General features: G+C 45.3%; 1 protein-coding gene and 2 pseudogenes across 7 annotated transcripts in view, besides 2 other annotated features; all 3 read left to right on the forward strand.

Annotated features, from left to right (window-relative positions):
- MTARC1 (mitochondrial amidoxime reducing component 1) overlaps positions 1-20,016 on the forward strand; it is a 32,747-nt gene extending 12,731 nt beyond the window's left edge. For 5 of the 6 annotated variants that reach the window (XM_011509900.4, NM_022746.4, XM_011509904.4 and 2 more), the window contains exons 5-7: positions 5,409-5,470; positions 5,560-5,631; positions 13,649-20,016. In XM_011509900.4, the coding sequence (XP_011508202.1) occupies positions 5,409-5,470; positions 5,560-5,631; positions 13,649-13,775 (261 nt within the window). In that variant the 3' untranslated portion in view covers positions 13,776-20,016. Of the gene's footprint in view, positions 1-5,408; positions 5,471-5,559; positions 5,632-13,648 lie in introns of those variants that run through there. The other variant, XR_001737362.2, reaches the window with a different exon arrangement.
- Positions 13,074-14,273: an enhancer, noted in NCBI's record as "BRD4-independent group 4 enhancer chr1:220986059-220987258 (GRCh37/hg19 assembly coordinates)". NCBI's record gives its function as "activates an origin of replication core promoter dependent on BRD2, P300/CBP, MED14 and CDK7 cofactors, and independent of BRD4, by STARR-seq in HCT116 cells {active_cell/tissue: HCT116}" and the evidence as "EXISTENCE:reporter gene assay evidence [ECO:0000049][PMID:35650434]".
- Positions 18,886-19,577: an enhancer, noted in NCBI's record as "NANOG-H3K27ac hESC enhancer chr1:220991871-220992562 (GRCh37/hg19 assembly coordinates)". NCBI's record gives its function as "activates a minimal SCP1, AML or CMV promoter by ChIP-STARR-seq in naive H9 embryonic stem cells {active_cell/tissue: H9 hESC(naive)}" and the evidence as "EXISTENCE:reporter gene assay evidence [ECO:0000049][PMID:30033119]".
- A 4,611-nt stretch (positions 20,017-24,627) lies between the features above and the next one.
- RNU6ATAC35P (RNA, U6atac small nuclear 35, pseudogene) lies at positions 24,628-26,420 on the forward strand (annotated as a pseudogene). Its single transcript, NR_157260.1, has one exon. The product of NR_157260.1 is annotated as an RNA, U6atac small nuclear 35, pseudogene (transcript).
- LOC124900455 (uncharacterized) lies at positions 26,133-26,250 on the forward strand (annotated as a pseudogene).
- Positions 26,421-26,508: the final 88 nt, after the last annotated feature.

The raw sequence follows: 26,508 nt of genomic DNA on the forward strand, positions 1-26,508 counted from the left end.
GGAGGTGAGGTGGCCTGCCCTAGGCTATACCACAGCAAGGAGGGGCTGGGTTTTGAACCCCAATTGTACAAGGCCAGAGGAACCCTGAGAATTCTAGGGCATATGTATGGGGCTGGGACAGCTGGATTCTAATCCACCTGCTTCCGCAAGTGACCGTACAAGCCTGGACAGGTCACCAAACTCGCCGAGGCATCTGCTTCTTGCAGTTGTAAAACACGGGCAGTTTCAATGACTCCCTCGCCTGATGGGAGCTGTGAGAATCAAGGTCGATGACAATTTGTGGAAAAGTTCTAGGACATTAAGTACCACAGGGAGGTAAGGAAGAGTTTCATTCCTGGGAGTTTGGCTCAGGTACCAGCTTTTTCCCTATGATCGACTTTAAGCTTTCTTTCTCCCCTGTGTGATTTGTGCACCGAGGGTCATGCTGAAGCCATTTCCACCCCAAAATTCTGTGACAGTAAGATTCGGATGACAGGAGAAGAGGAGATGGCCCAGAGTAGAACTTCAGATCTCGGAGATTTCTTTCAATTGAGTCTTACTCTAAAAACCCGTATCTCTCTCTCTATCTCTGAGTGTTCCCTAGTTGAGAACATTCTGTATGTGAAGCTGGGCGGTAACACAATGGTGGCTGAGCCGGCCTTGTTTTTAGTAATTCACCCATCATCGAGTGGGTTGCTGCCCCTGTGTGGCATGCGCTGTGAATAGACACATGAGAACAAGGGTTGAAGAAATGCACTTGCTTCTCCTAAGGAGCTCAGTGTGGTCAGATAGTGAAAAGTCACAGCACAGTGAGATATGGCCAGGAGGGTGGCGAGCAGCCAGACGTGGGGACGTGACTAACACCTGCATTGTGGGGTGAGCTGAAGCATGGGGCACCCAGGGCTCTGGTCTCAAACCCTTTCTCATTTGTCTGCACTCACTTTTCTGATCTGTTCTTTCTTTCCTTTTTTTTTTTTATTTAATCATCTGTTTTTAAGACCTTCTCTGCCCTGAGGACCCCTAACTATATCCTTCTGCCAGAGCTTTCCCCTGCTTCTCCATATCTCCATGTGGATGTCTAATCCAACGTCAGGATGTCTGAAATTGAGGGTCAGGTATCCACCCCAAAGCCTGCTGTGCTGTCTCGCCCATCTCAGCACACAACAGCTCTGACTTCCGCTGGCTCAGGCCCCAAACTGCGAACCACCCCTTGTTCTTCTCTTTCTCTCACATCCTAGGTTCCTACAGTTGACAGATCTTGGTGGCTGGGCCTTCCCCCCCACTCCCCTCTCTGCCCGGATGCAGTCACCACTGGTGCTGCAGCAGCCTGGCTTCACTGGCCTCCTTGCCCCACCCTTGACCCAGCCCTGCACCATCCATGGGCTGTTCTCAGCACATCCATCAAGGTAACCCTGTTGATGTAAGTCACATCATGTGATTTGTCTGCTCAAAGCCCTCTCATGGTTCTCCACCTTTCTTCAAGTAAAAGATGGGATCCTTATGGATTGCCTGGAAGGCCCAACATGACCTGCACCCCGCCAGCTCCCAGCCCCTTCTCCTCTCACTCCCCTCTGCTCTCTTACTCTGCCCCAGCCATACTGGCCTTTTTTCTGGGCCCCAGCTGTGTCCTCTGCCTGGCATATCTTCCCTCACAGGCCTCATGGCTCACTCCAGTGCCTCTTTCAGTCCCCTGCTGCGGGCTTCACTGACCCCGCTCACCCAGCCCCCCCCACAGCACACACCCCACCTAACAAGCCGTGTGTACTCAGGTATCAGTGTATTGTCTGTTTCCCCTATGCAAGCTCCTTGAGGACAGGGGCTGCTGTATCTCCAGCCCCTAGGAGAGCCCCTGGTACATAGAAGGTGTGCACTAATTATCTGTTAAATGAATGACCTGGACAAAGTATTGTCCAGGAGAAAGGGGGGCACTGAGGGAGGGGTACATACACAGGGCTATGAAGGTATGAGAGAATGGCCATCTTGCAGTGCTGGGGCTCAGGAGAGGAGGGGAGCTGAGAGCACAGGTACTTGGTGTCAGGTTTTGGGGAGTCTGGGAAGAATTTTTGGCCAGGGAGTGACTGAATCCGATTTGCATGATACACATTTGCCTCTGCCAGGAGCCTGGAGAAGGATTAGCGCAGGCGGGGCCAGGGTGCAGCTGGGAGAGCAGGCTAGCATGGAGGAAGGCCGAGGACCTGCATGGAAGTTTCTGGAAAGCAGACCCACTCCTCATCTCGGAAGCTACCTTCTCAGCAACTGTGGCTTTTCGCTGCCTCCCTTCATCATCGGCACTCCCCACACACATTTCTTACACCTCACTTCTCCCTGAAGCCACAGTAGAGACAACCACCCTACCTGCCACAGTCAGTGACCGTTTCTCAGTCACCACCACCCCGCTCTGAGGACACATGGACACTACTTACTGAAACGTTTCTCCTTTAGCTGTACTGCCCTTGCTTCTCTGCTGTTTGTCCTCATCCCTTACTTCCAAAAGTTCTGGCCTTGACCCTTTTCTCTCCCCTCCTTGGTGATCACACTGTCTCCTGCAGCATCGCCCTCTGTCACCTGACATAGGTCCCTCAAATGTCCACCCAGGACTCCCTCTGGAGTGCTGCACCACAGTTCCAACTCTTTGTTGGTTGACAGAGAAACTCAGACTTATGTGCTCCCACCCCAGCCCCTACACCCTCACCCCACCTCCCTAAACTCATTCTTTCTTTCTTTTTTGAAACAGAGTCTTGCTCTGTCACCTAGGCCAGAGTGCGCTGGCATGATCTCAGCTCACTGCAACCTCCGCCTCCCGGATTCAAGCGATTCTCCTGCCTCAGCCTCTTGAGTAGCTGGGATTACAGGCAGACGCCACCATGCCTGGCTAGTTTTTGTATTTTTAGTATAGACAGGGTTTTGCCATGTTGGCCAGGCTGGTCTCGAACTCCTAACCTCAGGTGATCCACCCGCCTTGGCCTCCCAAAGTGCTGGGATAACAGGCATGAGCCACTGCGCCTGGCCCCCAAACTCCTTCTGTTGACTTCACAGTTTCTATCCAGGGCAGCATGTTTTTTTCTTTCACCCAGGCTCAGAGCGTGACAGTCGGCCCTGGCTCCTCCCTCTGCTGTGTTCCTCCCAGCCCCAGCCATGTCGGCTCCCCTTTCTATCCTTAGCCACCAGCCAGATCCTACGTTTGTTACTTTAAGTTTGGACCACTGAGTGCTCCCTCCTGAATGTTGCCACAGCCAAGCCTCCTAGAGCTGATCAGCGTGATCTCTCCCGCTCTAAAAGTTTGTAACAAATCATCAGTGTTGCTGACTTGCTCAGAAGCCTTTAGTGGCTCTCCATGTCACAAAGGTCCAAACTTCCCACTCAATCATTACATTCCTCTGTAACCTTGCCACAGTCTGCTTTTCCAGCCTTTATTACCAACTGTATTAGTTTATTTTCATAGTGCTATGAAGAAATACCCGAGACTGGGTAATTTATAAAGAAAAAGAGGCTTAATGGACTCACAGTTCCACATGGCTGTGGAGCCCTCACAATCATGGCAGAAGGTGAAGGAGAAGCAAAGGCACGTCTTACATGGTGGCAGGCAAGAGAGTGCGTGCAGGGGAACTGCCCTTTATAAAACCATCAGATCTCATGAGATTTATTCACTATCACAAAAAAAGCATGGGAAAGACCCGCCCCCATGATTCAATTACCTCCAACTGGGTCCCTCCCATGACACATGGGGATTATGGGAGCTACAATTCAAGATGAGATTTGGGTGGAGACACAGCCAAACCATATCACGAACGAAAGCTCCAAACTGCAAACTGGTGTCTCCTGGTCACTGAGAATCTTACTCCCTTCCCTACTTAAAACTCTTGACATTCTCTAAAAGCCTGGATTAAAAGCCCCCTCCCCTGGGAAGCCTGCTCTGATTGCTGGACCTCAAAGCGCTCCCTCCCTTCTCTGAAGCTACCGTGTGCTCTGAGCCTCTCCCATACCAGGCTTGTCCTGTTTGAACTGGTCACCTCCAGGTGCTGTAGGAAGACTTTCCTGGGCTCATCAGTGCTTATGACTCAATCTCCAGTAGTTTTTTTTTTGGAATAGAAGGGGCTCTGGAAGTATTTCTTTAATTAATAATAACTTAATTTCCTAAGTGGAACCCTTATTTCTCTCCTTTTATACCCTTTTTATGTGTTTTTTTGTGACCATAGTGCCCCCTTGTGGAGAAATGTTCACAGGACAGGCTGTGGCTGTGCTAATCCGCTGTGCCCAGTTTTCTGGACTGTTGAAAATATGTGCTTGAGATCCATTTTATGATTTACGATAGAACAAAACCCCTGTGTCATATATATCAAGAATAACACACACTATTGGAGTTAAAATTCTGAGCTCATGATCATCCAAGGACAAGGCAGTTTGCTTTTTAACTCCAGGTCTTTGCCTTCCGCCCTCGTGTGGTGGGCAATTCTCTCCGAGGGTAAGAAGGTCAGGACTATAATCAAATGTCCTTTGCCTCCTCAGCGCCCTTCCTTCTTATTGCTGTCCCCTCTGCCTGGAGTCCCCTTACCCTTCTTTTGTGCCTCTCAAACTCTCTGCCCTTTTAGACTCAGCACCCATCTTACCTATTCCTTATAAAACTTCCTGTAACCAGACCAGCCTGGAGAGTCATGCCTCTGAATCCCCAGAGTAAGCATTGCCAGCACAGTTAAACCAACACATGACGTGCTGCCTTGGAGTGCTTTTTGTGAATATTTCTGGCATTTAAAAATAAAATATTTATCTTTAGAATTCCATGTATGGATGGCCTATCTTGGCTGCTGGATTGGAGGGCCTTGGTCCACTAATGCGGTTTGTCGTGGAAACTAGGCTCCACTGACCCAGCCCACAGCTCCCCTGGCTGCAGTGCTTCGTAAATACTTCAGCAAAAATCAAAGAGGAATGAGGCTGCTGGTCCTGCTCCTGATGTGTCCGTATCTGGCTAGGGGAGACATGCACATACTCAGTGACTTAAGGCTCTTGATCCATATAACTTCAGGCAGGCACTAAGGGATCTGATATAATCTGAAGTAATGAACAATGCCCCCATCTGTCCCCCTCCCCACTTTCACCCACCCCATTCACTTTGTGCACCCCACCCCCCACCACCAGTCAAAGTGGGATCATCAGGGAGCCTCCCTGAGCGAGGCGAGTTTCCATGACATTTTTACAAGTGAGAGGAGAGGGAAATCTCATCTCAGGGGAATCAACTGGCATATCAAAGCCAGAGAGAGGGAACGCCAAGGTGTGTGGGTATCACTTGGCAGAGCAGGGCTGGGGGAGAACAGAAGGCTGCCATCACTGATGTGGGTGACATCGTTAGGTGCGAGGGCTCCTGGGAAATCTCTACACACGTGTCAGGGGCAGGGCCCAGAGATGCTCATGGGAATTTGTGCTTTGTCCCCTAGGATTCTTGGGATGAGCTTCTTATTGGTGACGTGGAACTGAAAAGGGTGATGGCTTGTTCCAGGTAAGGTGCTTTCCTGTCCCTGTGGGGTGGAGGTGGGGATAAGTTCGCTCTGCTCTGTCCCCCTTATGATGCTCTGTGTGTGTGTCCAGATGCATTTTAACCACAGTGGACCCAGACACCGGTGTCATGAGCAGGAAGGAACCGCTGGAAACACTGAAGAGGTAGGACTGGGCAGACGGGGCTCATCCTCGGGTTTAGGTGCCGGGAACGGAAGCAATATTTGTTGCTTAATGTTTATAAGAGGAAGCAGTGAAAACACCACACACATAGTCTTGAAACTCAAGAGGGTCCCATTAACGAGATAATTTGGGAAACATTCCCTGGTGTTTTGGACACCAACATGTCTGCTTAAACAAGTACTTTTATTTTTCATTTAGAAATCATAATTCAAATAAATCAATGTTTAAAAATTGCTTATGCATTTTGACAAATTTTATTACGGGCTAAGTATTAGATGATACCAAAAAATGTACTAGGTGTCCTAATGGCATTGTGGTTGTATAAGAAATGTCAATATATTTTAGAGAAGCTGATTGAAATATGTGTGTAGGAGTGAAGTGATGTGACATCTGGAACTTGCCATATATTATTTTAGCAAAAAGAAAAAAAGGATAAATGAGTACATTTTAAAAATGTGTCACAATCTTCATAAATAGAATCTGGGTGATAATTACGTGGGGTTTATTGCACTATTCTACTTTTATGTTTACTTTAAAATTTCTTAAGGAAAAATTTTAGGTGAAAGACACAGTACCGAGAATCATTTTAAATTGTATATAAAGATAGTCAAGATGCTGTGTTGATTTTACAAAGTTGATTATAAAATAGCACTATTTACTTTTTCATTTTTATTTGATTTTACTTTTTAAAAAACATATAAATGCACATGAGTAGATAAAAGGCTGAAAGGATATAAAACAAAATGGAGATACTCTTTTGGTATAGTCATAGAATTATGGAAAAGGGTTATTCTCATATGCAGTCTCTAAACTTTCTATAATTACTCTGCATTACTTTCGTGAAAACAACAATAACAGTTTAGCATACAAGCACTTCAGAGCTGATATCTGCCAAATTTGGGACCCAGGAAATTGCTGAAACTCTGAAAATGAACTAAGGGTGCTTCTCTTCATTGGTCCCTTTGACATTGAATGCTGAGTCACAGGCCAGGTGTCAGGTCTCTTCTCTACAGCCCCTGAGACCCTTCCTTGGCTTTGTGTAAGACCCTTCCTTGGCTTTGGTCCTGACTTGGCCTCCCCAGGTGTATCTTGTAGAAGGGAGGGCCCTGGGAACCTTGAGGAAGGAATGCAGTTGAGATGTGACTATCTTGTATCCAAACCATCATGAACGAGCGCATGACAGAGAGGTTGCTCTAGGCTTTGTGGAGCAGGACTCATTCCCTGTAACGTGAGGTTGTCTGCCTCCCCTTCCTTCCACCTCTCACCAACCTCATGGCCTTTTTGGGGGCCAATGATTCAGTCATCTTTGATCAACAACCAATCCCTCCCTGACAATTCTACTGTCCCAGATCTGGCCCCATCTCTGGGCAAGCTGAAGCCCTGGGCTGGAGGGCTGTCATCCCCGCTGTCACCTCACCCCTGAGCATGAGGCTGTGGCCTGACCTCTCTGGCCAGCACCTGTCATCCTATAGGAGATAAGTCCCAGAGTGTGGGCCAGGCTGCAGCAAGGTTAGCAGGTGGCCATGAGGGCCTAGGCCACCTGGCAGAGAGACAGTGGTCAGCAGGGAAGTCAAACAGGGTGGGTGGAGGGAATTACGGAGAAGGGGGTTTGTGGTACTCAAGGAATCCTTAGGTGGATAGCAAGCAGCTGGTCTCTACCTGGCTCCAACAGCGTTGGGTGTGATTTGCATCAACATTCAAAGAGGGGGCTACAGACCAGCCTAAGGGAATCCCAACATTTTGAGAGATGTTTCTCAATACTCAAAACATTAACAACTTTTCTGTAAAAAGCTAATATTGTGGAGCATTTAAGATTGGTATATTTCATTCCATGTAACTTTCACCTCAAAAAAAAAAGCAAATAATGGTTTTTACTCTAGGTAATAATATTCAAGCTGAACTGTTCAGAGTTGAAATGTACTGGTGTCTGCAACTTACTTGGAAATGCAAAAAGACAATACAGTGGATTGATGGATAGATACATGTGTGATAAAGAAAACATAGTCAAGGGCAGGCACGATGGCTCATGCCTGTAATCCCAGCACTTTGGGAGGCTGAGGCTGGTGGATAACTTGAGGTCAGGAGTTCGAGACCAGCCTGGCCAACATAGTGAAACTCTGTTTCTACTAAAAATACAAAACTTAGCTGGGCATGGTGGTGGTCACTTGTATTTGCAGCTACTCGGGTGGCTGAGGTAGGAGAATCCTTTGAATCCGAGAGGTGGAGGTTGTAGTGAGCTGAGATTGTGCCACTGCACTCCAATTTGGATGACAGAGTGAGACTCTGTCTCACAAAAACAAACAAACAAACAAAAAAACAAATATATATAGTCAAGTGTTAAGCTCAGAATTCAAGCAGCGGGTAAATGGGTGTTTGCTGTAAAATTATTTCACCATTTGCCTGCTTGAGAATTTTCATAGTAAAATTTTGGGGGGAAATGTCACTATATGTGACAGAACATTGATGAGAGGACCAGGGTTATAGCTATTCTTTGAAATGCGCTCACTCACCATCAGAACAAACCAGAATTCAGTCTTCCTGTTTTCCATGGCCACAGAGGAGCTACTAGGGGCAGAAAGCAGGGTGGGCCAGCGGGAAGATCCCGGGCTGGGAGTCAGGAGACCTGGATGTGCAGCACACCGACTGCTGTGCTCCTACCCCTGCCCGCACTCAGACCCTGAGTGTTCTTCCCTATAAAATAAAGGAGGCAGGACAGAAATAGATGATTCTGTGTAAATCAGCCAAGTGGTTTGGGGAATTGGCTGTCATCCTTTTTTGTCCATCTTGTTCTTTCTCTTCCCCCTGTGTGTTGCTCGGTGTGGGGCATCCTTCCCTCTGGATTTAGAAGGTTTATGCTCTTGCAGAAACAGCCTCCGCAAAGCACTTCACGTGTTTGGGCTTGTTCTCTGCATCTTCAGTGCCCCCCTTCCTCCATTGGGAGCCTGTGTTTATAGAAGGAGGATAATTGACCCTAAACACAGAGTGAGGGTGGGAAGGCGGGGGGCGCAAGGAGCCAGCACACCCCCCTGATCTTCCGCAGGCTTTGTGAAGCCCAACAATCTGGCCCTAATTGCTTCTAATACCCCAGGAGACAGTGCGGCCAGCCTAGGTGTCTTCTCCTATCTCTTACTGAGATTTAAATTGCCATGGATGTGTAATTTATGTTCTTCCCAAGACAGGTGGTCATAAATCGGGAAGAGAAAGGCCTGGCCACATCCCATAAATCATGGGAAGGGAAGCAAACAGTGGTGTCCACAGCCTCTCTGCTATTGGGCAGGTTGCTCAGAGCTACACCACTTTCTGCCTCTGGGCACTCATGGTGCCCATGGCTGGGGTTGCTTCTGGAATGCCAGCGCTCAGCTGGGAGACCTCTGTGCCTGACCAGCCCTGCCTCCTGATGTTAGTCACCCACAGGCAGAGCCCGCGGTGGTACAGCAGTGGGAGGAAAAGAAATACAGAGGCATAGGGAAGCCTTTGTCTGTAAAATGCTCACAGCGGGAGGCACAGTGGAGGCATGTCTGCTAACAGGAAGATATGAAAATGGAATTTTTCTTTTCTTTCTTAAGGGAAAGTGACGTACACACTGATCCCCATGGTTGAAGGAATGGCTGGAGTCTGCCGTTGTTGCTTCCATGACATTTTGCCCCTAATGGAAAGAATATAGCACAGTTACTGCATGGGTACTCAAAAAAAAAAACGTTTTGCTGGATGCACGAATACTGTGACAGTAATGACATTTGCCAGCAGCCACTTGTGTCAGGCTGTGCTCTGCTGAGCTAAACACAGAATATATAGCAGTGGTAACTCCATGGGAGGAGGCAGACTCTCCACCCTAGTCTGGCTCTGTCACCTCCTAATTGTGTGACATTGGCAAGTCGCTTAGGCTCTTCAAGTCACAGTTTCTTTATTGGTATAAACTGGACTTGTAATACCTCTTCTGGTAGACTGGAATAAGGCAAGATATAGGATTTTTATAGATGATAAAATACTGTACACAGTGACCATGTAAGCTGCGGTCATTGAGAGTCACTGTTTATAAACTTGACACCTTCTGAGAGGAGGAGAAGCCTGACCACACTTCTTCCCATACTCAGAGGCTGCTTTAAATGAAACCTAACACGAACTTGCCCAGCGGCCAGCCTCTGGAGGTTCAGTGTGGCACCTCTCCCAGGAACGTTCACGATGCCGTCTAATTCTTCAATTTAATTTAATTTAATTTAATTTATTTATTTATTGAGACAGAGTCTTACTCTGTCACCCAGGCTGGAGCACAGTGGAGCAATCTCAGCTCTCTGCAACCTCCGCCTCCTGGGTTCAAGCAATCCTCATGCCTCAGTCTCCCAAGTAGCTGGGATTACAGGCATGCGCCTCTACGCCTGGCTAATTTTTGTATTTTTAGTAGAGACAGGGTTTCACCATGTTGACCAGTCTGGTCTCAAAGTCCTGACCTCAGGTGACGTGTCTGCCTTGGCTTCCCAAAGTATTGGGATTAACAATGCTGTTTAATTCTTAACCTGGCCATAGAGATAGGCAGTCATGAGGCCTCAGGAATGGCTTCTGCCGCTGGTGACTTATGGTCCCATGAACGCCAGTGGTGGGATCGGGCAGTGACCAGATACTCTGCCTGGAGTCATGGCCTGGACGTTGACCAGTGAATGCGTAAACCAGGCAGGGTAAACAAGGATCAGCCCTCTGTGGTGCACAGCACTTTAACGGTAACAAACTGTTTCCATTTACATTGCACCTTGTAAATAATAGAGACCTCGGTTTTAAGCTAAATAAAGTGTCTTGGGCTTCCTGCTCATTAGAATAGTTATGTTTCATGTTCATTTAAGGAGAAAGTGCACTAAGGAAGATTTTAAATGAGTTTTAATTTATTAATACCAACAGGAATACATATATGAAAAGTCACATATTTAAAAAATCGTAGAAGACCCATGTATGAAAGAATACTGTTTCAGAGTGTTGAACTTAGTGTGCGCACGAATTCATAGACTGCTTGCAATACCTCTTAGTGCCACAAGGCGCCGCTAGTGACCTCGTTGAGTCTTCCCACAGCCTGGAGGCGGGCTTCCGCAGCAGTAGCAAGAGGAGGTGGTGCAGGAGGCGGTGAGAGCCCGCAGCAAAACCAGGCAGCTGTAGGAAAGCCCTGGCAGGCCGGCCCACCGAGAACCCCTTTTCCACTCCCATAGCTCTTCCCGCTTCTACTCCTAGACAGCGGAGTGGACCGCCACCTGTGAGCCGGTGACCACACCTGCACTTTCACAAAGCAGCTCCCTCACCCCGACCTGTGCAGTTTAGGGAGGCTGTGCCGAGAGGGGCAGCCGCTCTTTACGGTCCTCTGCTCCTCATTACCTGGTGGGGGAGTGAGTGTGTCTGTGCTTGGTTGGCAGGAAGGGATAGGTGAAAAATGTAAGTGGCTAGAAATTGGTGTAGGTGACTAAATTGTGAGACCCCTCGGTTCTTCTCAGGCCTGTGGGTGTACTCAGGAGGATGTCGACGACCAGGGTTACATCCTGGGTGGGAAGAGTCCACTAGACTCTGAAGTCAGCCAGGCCTGGGCTCTGGCCCCAGCTGGATCCTTTAGATCTGTGATCTCAGGCAAGTCTGTTACTCCCCCTGAGACTTAACTGTAAAATGAAGAAAAGGCAAATTCCCACATAAGCAGGTTGTAAGGATTAAAAAAGAGAACATGTGTAAAGTTCCTTATAAACTATCCATGTGTGATGCGCAGAACTCCAACTCTCAATTTCTCCCCAAGATAATGAGAGTCTGGACTCTTAGACTGCAGAGCTTGGCAGCAACGGAAACACCCATACAAGCAGCTGATGTGTCCCCTGTTCCTGAAGAGGTCACCCTCTGACAGATAGATCTCAGAATGTCATGAATGTTGCATGCTGAAAGAGGAGAGCCAGGCTAGGAGAGATGCCTGGTTTGTCAGGTCCAAGGGCATTGCAGAAACCTGATTACAGAGAGAGGAAATACTCTTGGCAAGGCAGGGAAGCCTGCATCAGCAGCTTGTTATTTTCATTCATCCATTCATTTGTTCATTCATTGTTCAACCAACATTATTTTTGAGTGGTTACAGTGTATGTGTGAGGCACTGTTCCAGGCCATGAGAATGCAACAGAGAACAAAGTGGACACAGTGCTGCCTACAGGATGTTTACAGTCTGGGGAAGGAGCTGCAGGTCTCCAGAAGGTGGTTCTAGATTTGACTCTCTGTTTTCTCCTTAACAATTTCTGATTTGAAGAACAACATTAGAACCAAGTTGTTGCAGTCACTTTTTCACTTTTTTTTAAAGCAAGGCAGAATAAAATGAATGATTTATCTAAAATGTTTTAAATATAAAAATGATGTAAAATTAGGGTTAGATTAAATAAAAAACTGAAGGTTAACTTCTTCCCAGTGGGGAAGGTGGGGGAATCTTGCCATGTGAGTCCCACACATCTGCTCATGTACCCTCTCCCTGCGTCTTCTTTAATTTTCTGCTGGACAAAAATATTCATATTTATACTGCCTCTGACAGACGGTTTTACTCATGAGCATACTAATCCAGCCAGCAAACAATGGTGGGTCACAGGTGATGTAGGAGGCCCGGCATTGGGCGTGAGCAGTACAAGGGCATTAATCACAGTTCCTGTTCTCCAGGGACTCTGCCTTGTAGAACAGACAAACTTGTGCCCTGACATTACAGGACAAGATGTGTGAGTATTGGAGGGGCAAAGAGAATTGAGGAGGGGGAATTACTCGTAGCTGGGGGAACCTGGGCTTCCTTCCTGGGAGATGTGGTGTTTGATTTGGGCCTTGAGGCAGGTACAATTCTAAAGCATGGGGACCTGGAGGAGGAGCATCCCACAGGAATCACAGAGGACTTACCGAGTCAGTACAATGCAAAGCAAGGTGAAATCCAGCAGAGAGCTGCAGAGGCACAGGTAAGGAGCAGATGGCAACAGGTCTGAAAAAGCAGGCTGGGGCCAGGTAGAGCCCTACATACCAGGCTGAATAGTTGGAATGTTATTCTTTAGGCACTGGAGAGCCACGGAAGGTTTGTGAGCCTAGGAATGATAAGACCAGAACACAATTAAAACAGTGATATAGTGCAGTGTCAACAATGAATTGAAAACAGGTAGAGAATGAGGAAAAGAGGTTGGTTAAGAAGTTATTATGATAGTCTGAGCATGCTGGAAGCAAGATCGTGACAGTCGGAATGAGGAAAAGCAAGCCAAGTCAAATGATGTTGTACAGGAAGAACCTTGGAACTCGGCAGCTGCGGACAGGCTGTGGGAAGAGAGGACAGTGGTGTAAAGGATGGGCTCCCAGCCCAAGTGACGGCTAGGATGGTGGTTCAGGTGACAGACATGGAGGAGACAGGAGGAAAGATGCCTAGGGCAAAGGAAGATGATAAAGTATGTCTAGACACATTGAGTATCTAATTTTTTTTTTTTTTGAGACGGAGTCTTGCTCCATTGCCCAGGCTGGAGCGCAGTGGCACAATCTCCGCTCACTGCAAGCTCCGCCTCCCAAGTTGATGCCATTCTCCCACCTCAGCCTCCCGAGTAGCTGGGACTACAGGCACCTGCCACCACTCCTGGCTAATTTTTTGTATTTTTAGTAGAGATGAGGTTTCACCGTGTTAGTCAGGATGGTCTTGATCTCCATCCTGGTTGTGATCTGCCAGCCTCGGCCTCCCAAAGTGCTGGGATTACAGGCATGAGCCACCACACCTGGCCAAGTATCTAACGTCTTAATGCCGAAAGGGGGAACATGAAGGTAGAGAAAAGATGTGGGGATGTGGCCATTGCTTATGCTTCTGTCGTTGTTTGCTGGGCAGGCTGTTCACTGCCCCACTCCAGGAGGCGCTGTTCTGTTGAGCTTTGACGGGATGGTGCCCTCTCGAGCTGTGCGTGCGGAGGCCCTGTGTGGGATGGAAGCCACGTGCTGGTTGAGCTCTTGCATCCGCTTGGCTGTGACTCATCATGATCTTTTCCTATTGCAGTTATCGCCAGTGTGACCCTTCAGAACGAAAGTTATATGGAAAATCACCACTCTTTGGGCAGTATTTTGTGCTGGAAAACCCAGGGACCATCAAAGTGGGAGACCCTGTGTACCTGCTGGGCCAGTAATGGGAACCGTATGTCCTGGAATATTAGATGCCTTTTAAAAATGTTCTCAAAAATGACAACACTTGAAGCATGGTGTTTCAGAACTGAGACCTCTACATTTTCTTTAAATTTGTGATTTTCACATTTTTCGTCTTTTGGACTTCTGGTGTCTCAATGCTTCAATGTCCCAGTGCAAAAAGTAAAGAAATATAGTCTCAATAACTTAGTAGGACTTCAGTAAGTCACTTAAATGACAAGACAGGATTCTGAAAACTCCCCGTTTAACTGATTATGGAATAGTTCTTTCTCCTGCTTCTCCGTTTATCTACCAAGAGCGCAGACTTGCATCCTGTCACTACCACTCGTTAGAGAAAGAGAAGAAGAGAAAGAGGAAGAGTGGGTGGGCTGGAAGAATATCCTAGAATGTGTTATTGCCCCTGTTCATGAGGTACGCAATGAAAATTAAATTGCACCCCAAATATGGCTGGAATGCCACTTCCCTTTTCTTCTCAAGCCCCGGGCTAGCTTTTGAAATGGCATAAAGACTGAGGTGACCTTCAGGAAGCACTGCAGATATTAATTTTCCATAGATCTGGATCTGGCCCTGCTGCTTCTCAGACAGCATTGGATTTCCTAAAGGTGCTCAGGAGGATGGTTGTGTAGTCATGGAGGACCCCTGGATCCTTGCCATTCCCCTCAGCTAATGACGGAGTGCTCCTTCTCCAGTTCCGGGTGAAAAAGTTCTGAATTCTGTGGAGGAGAAGAAAAGTGATTCAGTGATTTCAGATAGACTACTGAAAACCTTTAAAGGGGGAAAAGGAAAGCATATGTCAGTTGTTTAAAACCCAATATCTATTTTTTAACTGATTGTATAACTCTAAGATCTGATGAAGTATATTTTTTATTGCCATTTTGTCCTTTGATTATATTGGGAAGTTGACTAAACTTGAAAAATGTTTTTAAAACTGTGAATAAATGGAAGCTACTTTGACTAGTTTCAGATCTTACTAACTTCTTGGCACAAAGTTAGACTGTGAAAGCTGACTGAGGCTGGGCACAGGGGCTCATGCCTGTAATTCCAGCACTTTGGGAGGCCAAGGTGGGAGAATGGCTTGAGCCCAGGAGTTTGAGACCAGCCCAGAAAATATAATGGGATCCTGTCGCTACAAAATGTTTTTAAAATGCACTCGGTGTGGTGGTGTGTGCCTGCAGTCCTGGCTATGGCTACTCGGGAGGATGAGGTAGAAGGATTGGTTGAGCCCAGGAGCGGGAGATTGAGGCTGCAGTGAGTTATGATTGCACCACTACACTCCAGCCTGAGTGATAGAGTGAGACCCTATCTCTAAAAAAGAAACAGGAAAAAAAAAGAAAGCTGACTGAGGTGAATGGGCAAAGCCAGTAATTCTGACACCTGACCACAGCTGGGTCTTCTGCATAATGGACCTCCTCACCCACAGCCTCCCAGGCAAGCACCCATGTTTGAAGGACTATCAAGTCAACATGCTTTTTACCAAAAGCTGCACATTTTTCACTTTGATTTTATAAAAGAGGTCAGTAATCGCTGAAATCTAGCTGAGCCCTGAAGTAAAGTTCTGAGCAAAGAGGTGCATGTGCTTGTTTTATGGTTGGTGAATTATTACAGTTTGTTTTCTGCATGCTTGGCATGAGGTGAATAATTACATCAATTTTCCAGAGAACCTGGGCCATCACCTTCCCCAACAAGTCCAGTTGATGTTGAAACTACAGATAGATTGAGACAAAGCGAAGTGTTCAGCAAGTAGCATTACTAATGGGACCGGGGGACCCGTGGGAGAGTGAGTGTACACAGGATTTAGGAAACCATGTGAATATGGGCTCTCTGGGAATAGCCAATAGGTAGGGAGCAATCAGAAACCCAAGGTTTGGTGGCTCTTCCTAGGTATTTATAATTAGTGGCAAGTGAAAGCCTTAGTCCTGAATTTCTAACCACTTGTAAGAACTAACAGCCACTTCTCTGTGCCCCGTCCGGGCAGTAACCATCATTCTCCATGGACAGGCTCTCGGGGTAGCTAGCTCTGCAGGGCAGCACCCACGTGGAAGGGAGCACCCAGAAACCCTCCTCACTGGGCAGACCTGTCCTTCTGTGCCTCACAGTGTGAGGAAGATTCCTGTTTGAAGAGAGAAGTTCCAGTGACCTCTAGAATCTCAGAGTAGTTGCCAAGCTTTCTGTCAGTGAGATTTAAAGGCCATTTACTTGTGTTTATTTTATATTTAATGAGTTGGTTAATGCCAGAGACAAAGCTGATATCCCATTTATTTTGGATACTGAGCATTTGCACACTATTCCACTTGAAATATAGAATCAGGAATGTAGGCCATCCCAGACTTTCAGATCTTACAACAGCAAATGACAGATGTTTGAGATCAGGCCAAAATATCCACCCTCGGTGGGCATCTCCTCTGTGTGGCAACTTATGCTGCAGCCACAGTGGGGAGTCACAAACTCAGAGCTGGAGGTCTTGAAAAGGACAATGTGGGCCAGGCTCCGGAGGGGCTGCCTAAAGGCTTGCTTTTGTGACTCTCCTGCAGAAAATGTTAGAAACTTCCAACCGAAAGACGAGGGCAGCAACTTATACACACGAAGGCAGAAAGAAATTGGGGAAGGGGAGGCTGTTGGAATTCAGGCCGTTGTCCTATAGGGAGAAATACTCCTCCTCTCCTTCTCCCTTTACTGATAACGGGGCATGGTGAGGAGATGAGCTTGTGAGGGTCTGCCAGTTTGGTAAGAGTGCATGGGGAGGTTGGGTAAATTAGACTAGCCAAATGGGACTTCGGGAAACCATTTATGAGGCTGTCACCAACAGTGATGGCAGGCTGAAATTCCAGGCAAGTGCTCCCAGCATTCCAAGAGTGTATCAAATTAAAGCAACCCATGATGGTGGAGAACAGATACATTAAAGTTCCTTGAAAATGACAGAGTGGCTCTCAGACCAGACCTTGATTGTGGGTATAATCGGAGTGTTGCTACCACACCCTAACACTGCATTTCCCGTGTTTTATTGGTCCATGGAATTCTGAAAGTTTGCCTTTCGGGATGCTTCTAAAAACAATTCCATGGACCAGTAAGTTTGGAAAGTCCTGCGTGCCTCACTTCTCTTCAAAGGCAAAAGGCTCTGGAGAGGCCTTCATGAAGACATCTGTGTTTAATGCTGCCCTTCCCAAAGGTCTGTTTTTGACTGTCTTTTGAGAAATGATCCTCTGATCTCTAGGCAGAATGCCAGTGAGCCAAGGAATCCCAGTTAGCAGGAGGGGTGCACTCATGGGAAGACTGAAGAAGTTAAAAGTTCCCGCCAAGTGAAGGAGACCTATCTTGGGACACTTCCCCTTGTCCTCTCCCTTGCCCCTCTTGCTGGAGTAAAAGGATGGAACTGGGACTTGATAGGTTAAAGGAGGTGTGGAGAAGTGTCTTAGACCAGCTCTCCTGTTGTGGGCCTTAGGGAGAAGCACTCTCTTTCTTCGGGATCATTTTCCAAACATGCATTTTTGGATGGATAGGGTGGATCAGGGTGAGGGAAGGGAAACCAAACTCTCTCTAACCTTGCCCTTACAGCAATACCTGTGATGTAAGTTACAAAACCACCTGTGATGAAAGTGCTCCAGGATGCTTCATGCACCAGGGAGGGGTGCCCTGTTTCTCTTCTGCTAGCTTCTCCTTTCTTTTTTTTTTTTCTTCTTTTTTTTGAGACAGTGTCTCACTCTGTTGCCAGGCTGGAGTGCAGTGGTGAGATCTCAGCTCACTGCAGCCTCTGCCTCCCAGGTTCAAGCAATTCTTCTGCCTCAGCCTCCCGAGTAGCTGGTGTGTCTGGAGTTGGTTCCTTCTGGTGGGTTCTTGGTCTCGCTGACTTCAAGAATGAAGCCACAGACCTTCGCAGTGAGTGTTACAGCTCTTAAAGGTGGCACGGACCCAAAGTGAGCAGTAGCAAGATTTATTGTGGAGAGCGAAAGAACAAAGCTTCGGAAGGGGACCCAAATGGGCTGCTGCTGCTGGCTGGGGTGGCCACCTTTTATTCCCTTATTTGTCCCTGCCCATGTCCTGCTGATTGCTCCATTTTACAGAGTGCTGATTGGTCCATTTTACAGAGTGCTGATTGGTGCATTTACAATCCTTTAGCTAGACACAGAGTGCCGATTGGTGAGTTTTTACAGTGCTGATTGGTGCATTTACAATCCTTTAGCTAGACACAGAACACTGACTGGTGCATTTATAATCCTCTAGCTAGAAAGAAAAGTTCTCCAAGTCCCCACTAGACCCAGGAAGTCCAGCTGGCTTCACCTCTCACTGGGACTACAGGTGCACACCACCACACCCAGCTAATTTTTGTATTTTTAGTAGAGACGGGGTTTCACCATGTTGTTCAGGATGGTCTCGAACTCTTGATCTCGTGATCTGCCCGCCTCGGCCTCCCAAAGTGCTGGGATTACAGTTGTGAGCCACCACGCCCGGCCCTAGCTTTTCCTTTCTGTTGCAAGTCCTCTCAACTAGTGTTGCCTTCCACCCTACAAAGCAGAATTACCTCAGAAGTCCTATGGCCCTGACTCTATCTATGTCTGCACAAAGCACTACTGTGCTTTGCTGTCTGCAAGAACAGAGATTGTTTGCTTCAACCACTTTCTCTGAATGGATGAATGAGTTATGATGATATCTAAAGTTACCCAATTTCAAGCAAGAGGAAGAATCTGGCTCGGTACCACAGATGTTCTTGGAATTGGGATAGTAAAAAAGTCCCTGAGGCATCCCTTGGTCTGCTCTGACCACACTCTCTTCACAGGAAGAGGCTTGGGCCACAGCTCTGACTATAACTCTGCTCTTCCTCCAAACACAGCTGAGGAATTGGGTGGTGGGGCACCTGCTCCCATGCTCTGTGGCCTGGCTCAGAGAGAAGAGTTGCCTTAATTACATTATTATTCTTCCTGGACAGGCTGTAGGTTGTGTAAAGTAACAAAAAGGACTGAGAAGTGACTTCCCATTCAGCCTCTTCCAAGGCCATTTTTGATAGGCAGGTCAAATTCACTCACATTTGGTTATTTGTTGGCCAGTCTAGTGCATTCACCCTTGCTGGTCCTCAGTCATGCTCCTTTACCTTTACAGAGCATCCTAGACTGCTCTTCCTCTTACCTTCCTTGTGAAACCCACAACCCCTAGTCCCTCCCCTTCCCTGGCATTTGTTATGCCCTCTACCAATCCCTGACCTGGTATTGGTCAGTCTCCAATCCTGGTGGATCCCTGTGGGAACTAAGTTAAGTCTAACTTTTGTCTCCCTCTTTAGAATTTACTGGGAGTACTGTAAATAAACTATTGTTGTTATAATTATTTCTGATTAACATTTTTACACCTAACAAAGTCTCAGAGAGATTGAATTTACTGGGTTGAAGGGAGGAGCACCTTCCACATGACCTGCCCAGCAATTAAAGCCGCTTGTTAGTCCGAGGCCCAGGACGGCCGAGGACAGCTGGAGAGCTCTTCGTTGCAGGCAGCTCTGGTTAACATCAACCGGGAAAGCTCTTTGTAAACACATGAATAATTGATCGTCCAGCGCTCACATAGCTACCGCGGATCTGAGCCCGTATGACTCATTTGCGAGCCATTCCTGTCGTCTGGATGCCATAACATTGGAGGAATGATGATCGTTTCTTGGAGGTTCTTCTGTGGCCAGAGTTGCCAAGACCAAGGCTGTAATGGTTTGTTATGATGACCTTTGTTATTCCATTAGGCTCAATTGCTTTAAAAAATGATGTGTGCATACTTTAGGAACGTTTTTACCCTTTATGTTGACCTGACATCATAGTTTATATTATAAAATGTATTAATGACAGAAGAGTGTTTTCATGTCCCAAGGACAAATTTTAACAACCATAATCTGCCCTCAGTCATCATAAATATAAATGTATTGGTCAAACAGATCTCGTTAATGTGGCCAAGATAAATGCAAGTCTATATTTTAAGGCAGTCGAAGTCCTAGAGAATATATCTGGAGCTTTTGTGGGGCTAAGAGATCTTGTATATATGCTATCAAAAGGCTGAGAAAATTAACATGTTCCCCCCTCTGATTTTGCATTGGACAGATATAAATGTCTTGGGGATGTCAAGTAAGATTGTTCACATAGTTTCTGGACACCATTAATGCCTGATGGGGTGAATCTTAGTTCTTAAAGCTATATTCTGCTCATTATGCTCACAGGGCTTTTGAAAAGAGAACAAAATAAAGATTTCAAGTCTTAGCAATGTGCTGCCCAGCCAACATTTTTCTGAGTTATACTGTGTCTTAAATTTCTAATTATATCATTCTCCCCATTCCCCAATAGCTTGTTTCCTGTGGGACGAGCCCCTTTTCCACAGATGTGGGTCTGACATTTGCATCATTCCAGTTGGCAAGCCACATGTTGGTAGACAGTGTTCTGGGCATGATCTGGAGGACAGGATGAGTGCTTTGTTTTCTCTTTGTTATGCCATACTCAGCAGCTTTGGTCATTATTTGTAGTGTCCACATTAAGCTTCTTAGGGAGAAAACAAATCCTTGTTGAAGAAACATTTTTTAATAGTGCTATTATTTTGAACCATGAAAATGCATTTAAAGCAGTAATGTCTCAAATGCTACTGTCAGAGCAGACTCTTTACAGGAATGAGTTCATTTCCCCCAGATATGGTAAAAAAAAAACAACAAAAAACAAACAAACAAACAAAAATGGTGCCATAATTAGCCTCTCCAAGGATTATGGTCACCTGGCAATGAATGAAGAGCACTTCATTTAAAACCATTTACCCTTTTTCCCTTTGAAGAATCTTCTAAAGCGATTTTCCCTTCTGAATCTGCTGTCGTTTTTGGCAACACCAAGTATTGGGCTTTAGGAATGAGTTTTGCCTGGATAAATTTTCTGGGACTGGGGACTGGATTATTTTCTAAATTTGTGCTGTGATCATCTCCTGTGTTGTTTGAACTTCTTGAGCAATTTAAAAAGTGAGGTACACGCACCCATTTTCATAGCAGCGTTATTTACAATAGTAAAAGAAAAAAAAATGGAAATAGCCCATGTCCACTGACAGATGAATGGATAAACAAAATGTAGCCTATACATACAATGGAATATTATTCAGCCTTGAAAAGGAAAGAAATTCTGACACATGCTATAACATGGATGAACCCTGAGGACATTATGCTAAGTGAAATAAGCCAGTCATATAAGGACAAATACTATATGATTCCATTAATATAAGGTACTTAGAGCAGTCACACTGTTCTAGACATAAAATAGAAACAGAAAGTAGAATGCTAGTTGCCAGTGGATGGGGGAATGGAGAATGAGGAGTAGTTGTTTCATGGGTATAGTGTTTCAGTTTTGCAAGATGAAAAGAATTCCAGAGATTGGTTGCAAAACAAAGTGAACGTGCTTAATACTCCTGAACTGTACACTTAAAAAAAAATGGTTATGGTGGCCAAGGCAAGAGGATCACTTGAGGCCAGGAGTTCAAGACCAGCCTGGGCAACATAGTGAGACCCTATGTCTACAAAAAATGAAAGTATTAGCCAGGCATGGTGGCGCATGCCTTTAGCCCTAGCTACTTGGAAGGTTGAGGTGGGTGGATAGCTTGAGCCAAGGAGTTCACAGTTACAGCGAGCTATGATCACACCACTGCACTCCAGCCTGGGTGGTAGAGTGAGGCCCTGTCTTTAAAAGAATAAAAAAGGAGGTTATGGTGGTACATTTTATGTTACATATATTTTACCACAATTAAAAAATAACTTAAAATGGTACAACACTTCAGAGACTTGGAGTTGCGTTAATCCCAACTCTAAAGTCCCTTCCTGGAAAGGCATCCTAGGCTACTGCTGCTGAAAGAACACCGATCCCACGCAGCCCATTCAGAACTCTTCTTGCTGACACCAAAAAGAATAAGAAATTGCAATGTAATGTTTTTGAACTTGAGAGTGAGATGATTTAACTTCAGATTTTAATTTCTCATTTTGCCTTTTTTGGCCCTTAACTTGGAATTTAATTTTGGACTTCAGACTCCTTGGTAATTTGGTGTTAGAGGGGTTTATGTTCAAATCTAGAGCATCTTATTGTCATTTTATTGTTGAGGTACCTTTGTGATATCACTTGATTTTGCTGCACAGTCTCTGATAGGTTCTGTTGGGCAGTGTGATGTCTGGACATAATTTGAGATGGAAAATAGAAAAGGATCGACAATTTTTATCTTGACTACAGAAAGGCCTTGAAGAACACAATGTACTGTACTGGCCCATCTCAGAACCTTATGGGGCAAAAACACACAGTACCTTTCTAGAAAGATCTACATGGAAGTGACACTGGAGATGGGGGTAGGAGTTTATTCCCTCTCTGAAGATGCTATCCCTATAATATATATACCTATATATGACTGGGTATAATGTGTAAGCACAATGGGCTCAAAGAACAAAAAATTGAGGAATTTGGGGATACAGATAACTTAGCTACAATAAATGTGTTATAATCACACTCATCCCTCGTATGTCCAAATGAAGAGACATTCCTTAGTCTTGGCCCCTCTCTGCCTCCTCACACTCTCTTGTTTGGGGGAGATCTGATTGGTAAATTTGGAAGCAGTGAGTTTGAGCTCTGCTCTTTCTCCTTCTCTTTTCTACTTGGGCTCTTGCTGCCTTCAAGGTGCTAGGACCCTGGTCCCTTTGGTCCAAGTGGTGATTTTGGCAGAAAAGACCCTTCCCTAGTTGGGAGATACCTGTAGTTCTCCAGTTTTGTGCAAGGCTGGGGAGATAAATTCAATATTGGGATTCAGTATTATTGATAAAACCTAGGCTGGAGGATGTAGTTTAGGAATACAAAAGCAATGGAATTTCTATCAGAAAAAAAGCAGATATTTTGATCTCAAAACAAAACAAAACAAAACTAAAACCTGCAAACAAAACCCAGTGTACCTTGCATTTGTAAAGTGCCATGAAACCTGCAGTGCACCTTCATCCACTCTATATGATTAGATCTTGCTGATGACCCAGTGAGGTAGGATAGATGTGAAAGTCTTTTGTAAGCTGCTTACGTATCATCATTCTTCTTCTGAATGCATAACGCATGTCACTGAGCTTTGGGGAGGTTAACTAACTTGTCCACATTATAGGTGATGGGCTAGAGTTAGAACTCAAGGCTTGTGCCTTCTGGCAATGCTACAAAATAAGTTGGCAAGAATGAATTCAAAGTGTGGTAGTACCTTCATCCGGAAACTGGTTTGATCCTACAATCTTGTTTTAAAACAATTGCTTATGACTTACTGAAAGGACCTTTAAGACTGGTGTGTGTATTTGTATCACCTGTGAACCATGGGTAGATTCCTGTGTCAGATTCTCAGATATCCTGATTTAGTAGTTCTGCAATGGAACCTAGAAATTCTCATTTTTATAAAGACTCCAAGCTCTTCAAAACTTTTACTTGATTTTCTGTAGACCAAGTTTCCATCACTCCTACTCACCCCACATTAATGTTGACATTCTTCTTAGTGGTATGTAAAGAAATACTGGAGGAACAAATTCTGGCTTTCTGAGAAAAATGGAACCCATTAGACTACTTCATGGTTAAGCATGGATGTGCTCATTTTGAGTGATGGGGTCACACTGATCCAAACACACCTCCCCCAGCCCTCAGGGGACCACAGCCCCACTTTTGGATGCAGCAGAGGATCGTGTATGCCCTGAAAGGGAGTGAAGCTCTGAAGGCACCAAACCCACAACCTGAGCCTCCACGCAACAAAGTCAATGACCACATCATTAACGAATCCTGAATTTGTCAGCCAAGCAGAGGCAATGCTTGGGGCTTAACGATTGTCCACATATCATGTAACAAATGACCGTGTGTGCATGCATGTGTGGGGGAGTAAATGAGAAAGCATGTTTTGTAAGAAAATTTAATTTCCTTATAACAACCAACCAGTTTCTTTTAGTGAATCAACAGATAAGGGGGTCCCAAATACAGCATTAACGATTTTAAAAGCATGAGTGCCAATGGTATTTTCTTTCTTTTTCTTTCTCTTTCTTTCTTTTTCTCTTTCTCTCTCTCTGTCTCTCTCTCTTTCTTCTTTCTTTCTCTCTTCCTCTCTTCCTTTCCTTTCTTTCTTTTTAAAGAAAGGCAAGGTAAAGATTGGGAATGTTGATGAACGATGGCCCCATTCTCTAAGAGCTCAGTGAGAGTCTGTGTCAACTTGTTTTCCTCTCTTCCTCCCTCCTAGCCAAGCTTCAGAGGAAACTCTTTTCATGTGAAATGTAAGGGATGAATTTCAAGCTCCACTGAGAGCTTTAAAACCTTAAATTCTTGAAATAACCTGCCTCTCAGGAATCATAGGTCCCAAAGAATTGTAAAGCTTTCCCTTAAGCTGTGGAATGGCTCCATTGCTAACTATGATTACTTAAGTCTCAGAATAGAAGGATGTAATAAATCTGACAGTATTTGTTCTGGTTTGTGACTAAGCAAAACTGTATAATATTAAATCAGATGTTGTTATAAACATATGAAATGGCACATTTTTTTCCAACTTGGGGCATTGTGGCATGAAGCATCCCCCCAAAAATGTTTTTGCATTCTTGGATACCAGCTCTGGTTTCTGCTAGATTTCCTTCTTTCTGAGCATGGATGCTAAATAACAGTGCTTCTTTTTAGCCATCTGTATTTCCTGTGAGTTAGCAGGGCTGAGGAGACCTATTCTCATTTCTTTGTGTGCTTCTCTATGGGGTGGAACTGGAGACTCAGGCAGAGCGTGTGGATTTCTGTGTGTGTGTGTGTGTCTGTATGTGTGTCAGGTGGAGGAATGAATGGCATCCTAACACCCTGGAATGTTTGGGTTGGAAAGGCTCTTGGATACAAACTAGTTAACTCACCTCCTCATTACCCAGGTCATATTTTTAAGCTTAGGTCCAAATGTGTGGGAGAGAGAATGCTGGAAAGATCTGGAGGTTGGAAGGTTGGAAGGAGTTTTGAAATGGGAGGGAATTCAGCCATTGCTTTCACTCCTCTTCCCGCCTGAGTCCTCAACAAAAGGGACATTTCCCCTTCTTTTAAAGACTTCCTGATAAAAGGAGTCTTCATGGACACCCCCATAAGCATAAGGCAGCACAAGGGAGGGAGCTCCGGTGGTGGCGGAGTTGGGACACTCAGGCACATGGTTGCAGAGGCGCAAAGGTGTGACCGTTCTAGGTGTATCTTCCACAGGGCCCTCGTGGAAGGGACCAACTGCATCCCCTAAAACTGCCAGGGCAGCTTCCCATGATGCTGGGCTGAGTCCAGATTTCTAGATTTGGCTGGTGCAAGCTCCTGGTTTGCTAGAAAATTGCTGATGAAATAGGAGGGTTGTCAGGCCATGGGACAAATCTGCCGCTGTCCTCAGGGGTCACCCTGCCTGGCTTTGTGTGCTGACAGTCATGACCCTTTGGACGTCTGCATGTTTGTCTCTGGGTGAGTGGCTGTGTTGGCATTTAGTTTTCATTTGCTATATGATGAGCAAAGAACCACAAAGAAGTCCTAAACACACCTGGTGCTAAAAAGTGATTACCCTTGCCCTTGTTTTAGGACTTACAGCTACTTTTTCTTTCTGTAGCTTCCAAATATTTTATTTTTTATAATTAAGAAAGTAAATTTATATTAAATTTCTTTTCTGAGACAGAGTCTCGCTCTGTCACCCAGGCTGGAGTGCTATGGTGCAATCTCAGTTCACTGCAACCTCCGCCTCCAGGACTCAAGCCATCCTCCCACCTCAGCCTCATGAGTAGCTGGGACCCAGCTCTGCCTGGCTAAATTTTGTATTTTTTGTGGAGATGAGGTTTTTTATGTTGCGCAGGCTGTTCTTGAACTCCTGGGCTCAAGTGATCCACGTGTCTTGGCCTCCCAAAATGCTGTGGGATTACAGTTTTGAACCACTGTGCCCAGCCTATGTTAAAATTAATTTTTCCATTTAAAATGTCGTTAATTAAAATTCATAAAATTTATATCAAAATCATAGCCTAGAATCTCTGCATATGTAAGAATCACTTTTTAAAAAGATGATTTAGGATGTTGATAGCATCTTATGAATTGTTTAGAGCTGCACTGTCTGACATGGTAGCCATTAACCACGTGTGGTCATCGAGTGCTTGACACGTGGCCAGTAGAAATTAAGATGCGCTGTGTATGTAAAATACACACCCAATTTCAAAAACTCAGTACAAGTGAAAATGTAAGCTATTTTCGTAATTTTTGTATAATGATTACATGTGAAATGATAATAGCTTATATAATATTAGGTTAAAGAAAGCATTAGAATTAATTTCATCTGTCTCTTTTCACCTCTTAATGTGGTTACTAAAAAATTTTAAATTACATATGTGAGTGTTGTATAAAGAAGAGAAGGTTAGCATTCCCCTTGACAAGGATGGAAGAGGCCTGTACAACACTCATATAACTTCGGCATTGCCACCTTCTTTGTAGCATCTAACCATGGTTTTGAGGATGGAAAATGATTGTGTAATTGGTACGAGGTTTCCTTTGTGATGATTAAAATGTTCTGGAACTAGATAGTGGTGTCAGTTACACAATATTGTGAATGCACTACATGCCACTAATAGTAAATGTTATGTATCTTTTACTGCAATAAAAAATTATGTGTGTCTCACATTATATTTCTATTGTGCAATGGGTGTTTAAAGAGGTAGAGGGTGTGGCTTTGCTTACAATAGTGTCTCTAGAATGGGGAAGAAATTGAAAG

Source organism: Homo sapiens, chromosome 1 (genome assembly GCF_000001405.40).
Source record: "Homo sapiens chromosome 1, GRCh38.p14 Primary Assembly".
In the NCBI taxonomy this organism is placed as follows: Eukaryota; Metazoa; Chordata; class Mammalia; order Primates; family Hominidae; genus Homo; species Homo sapiens.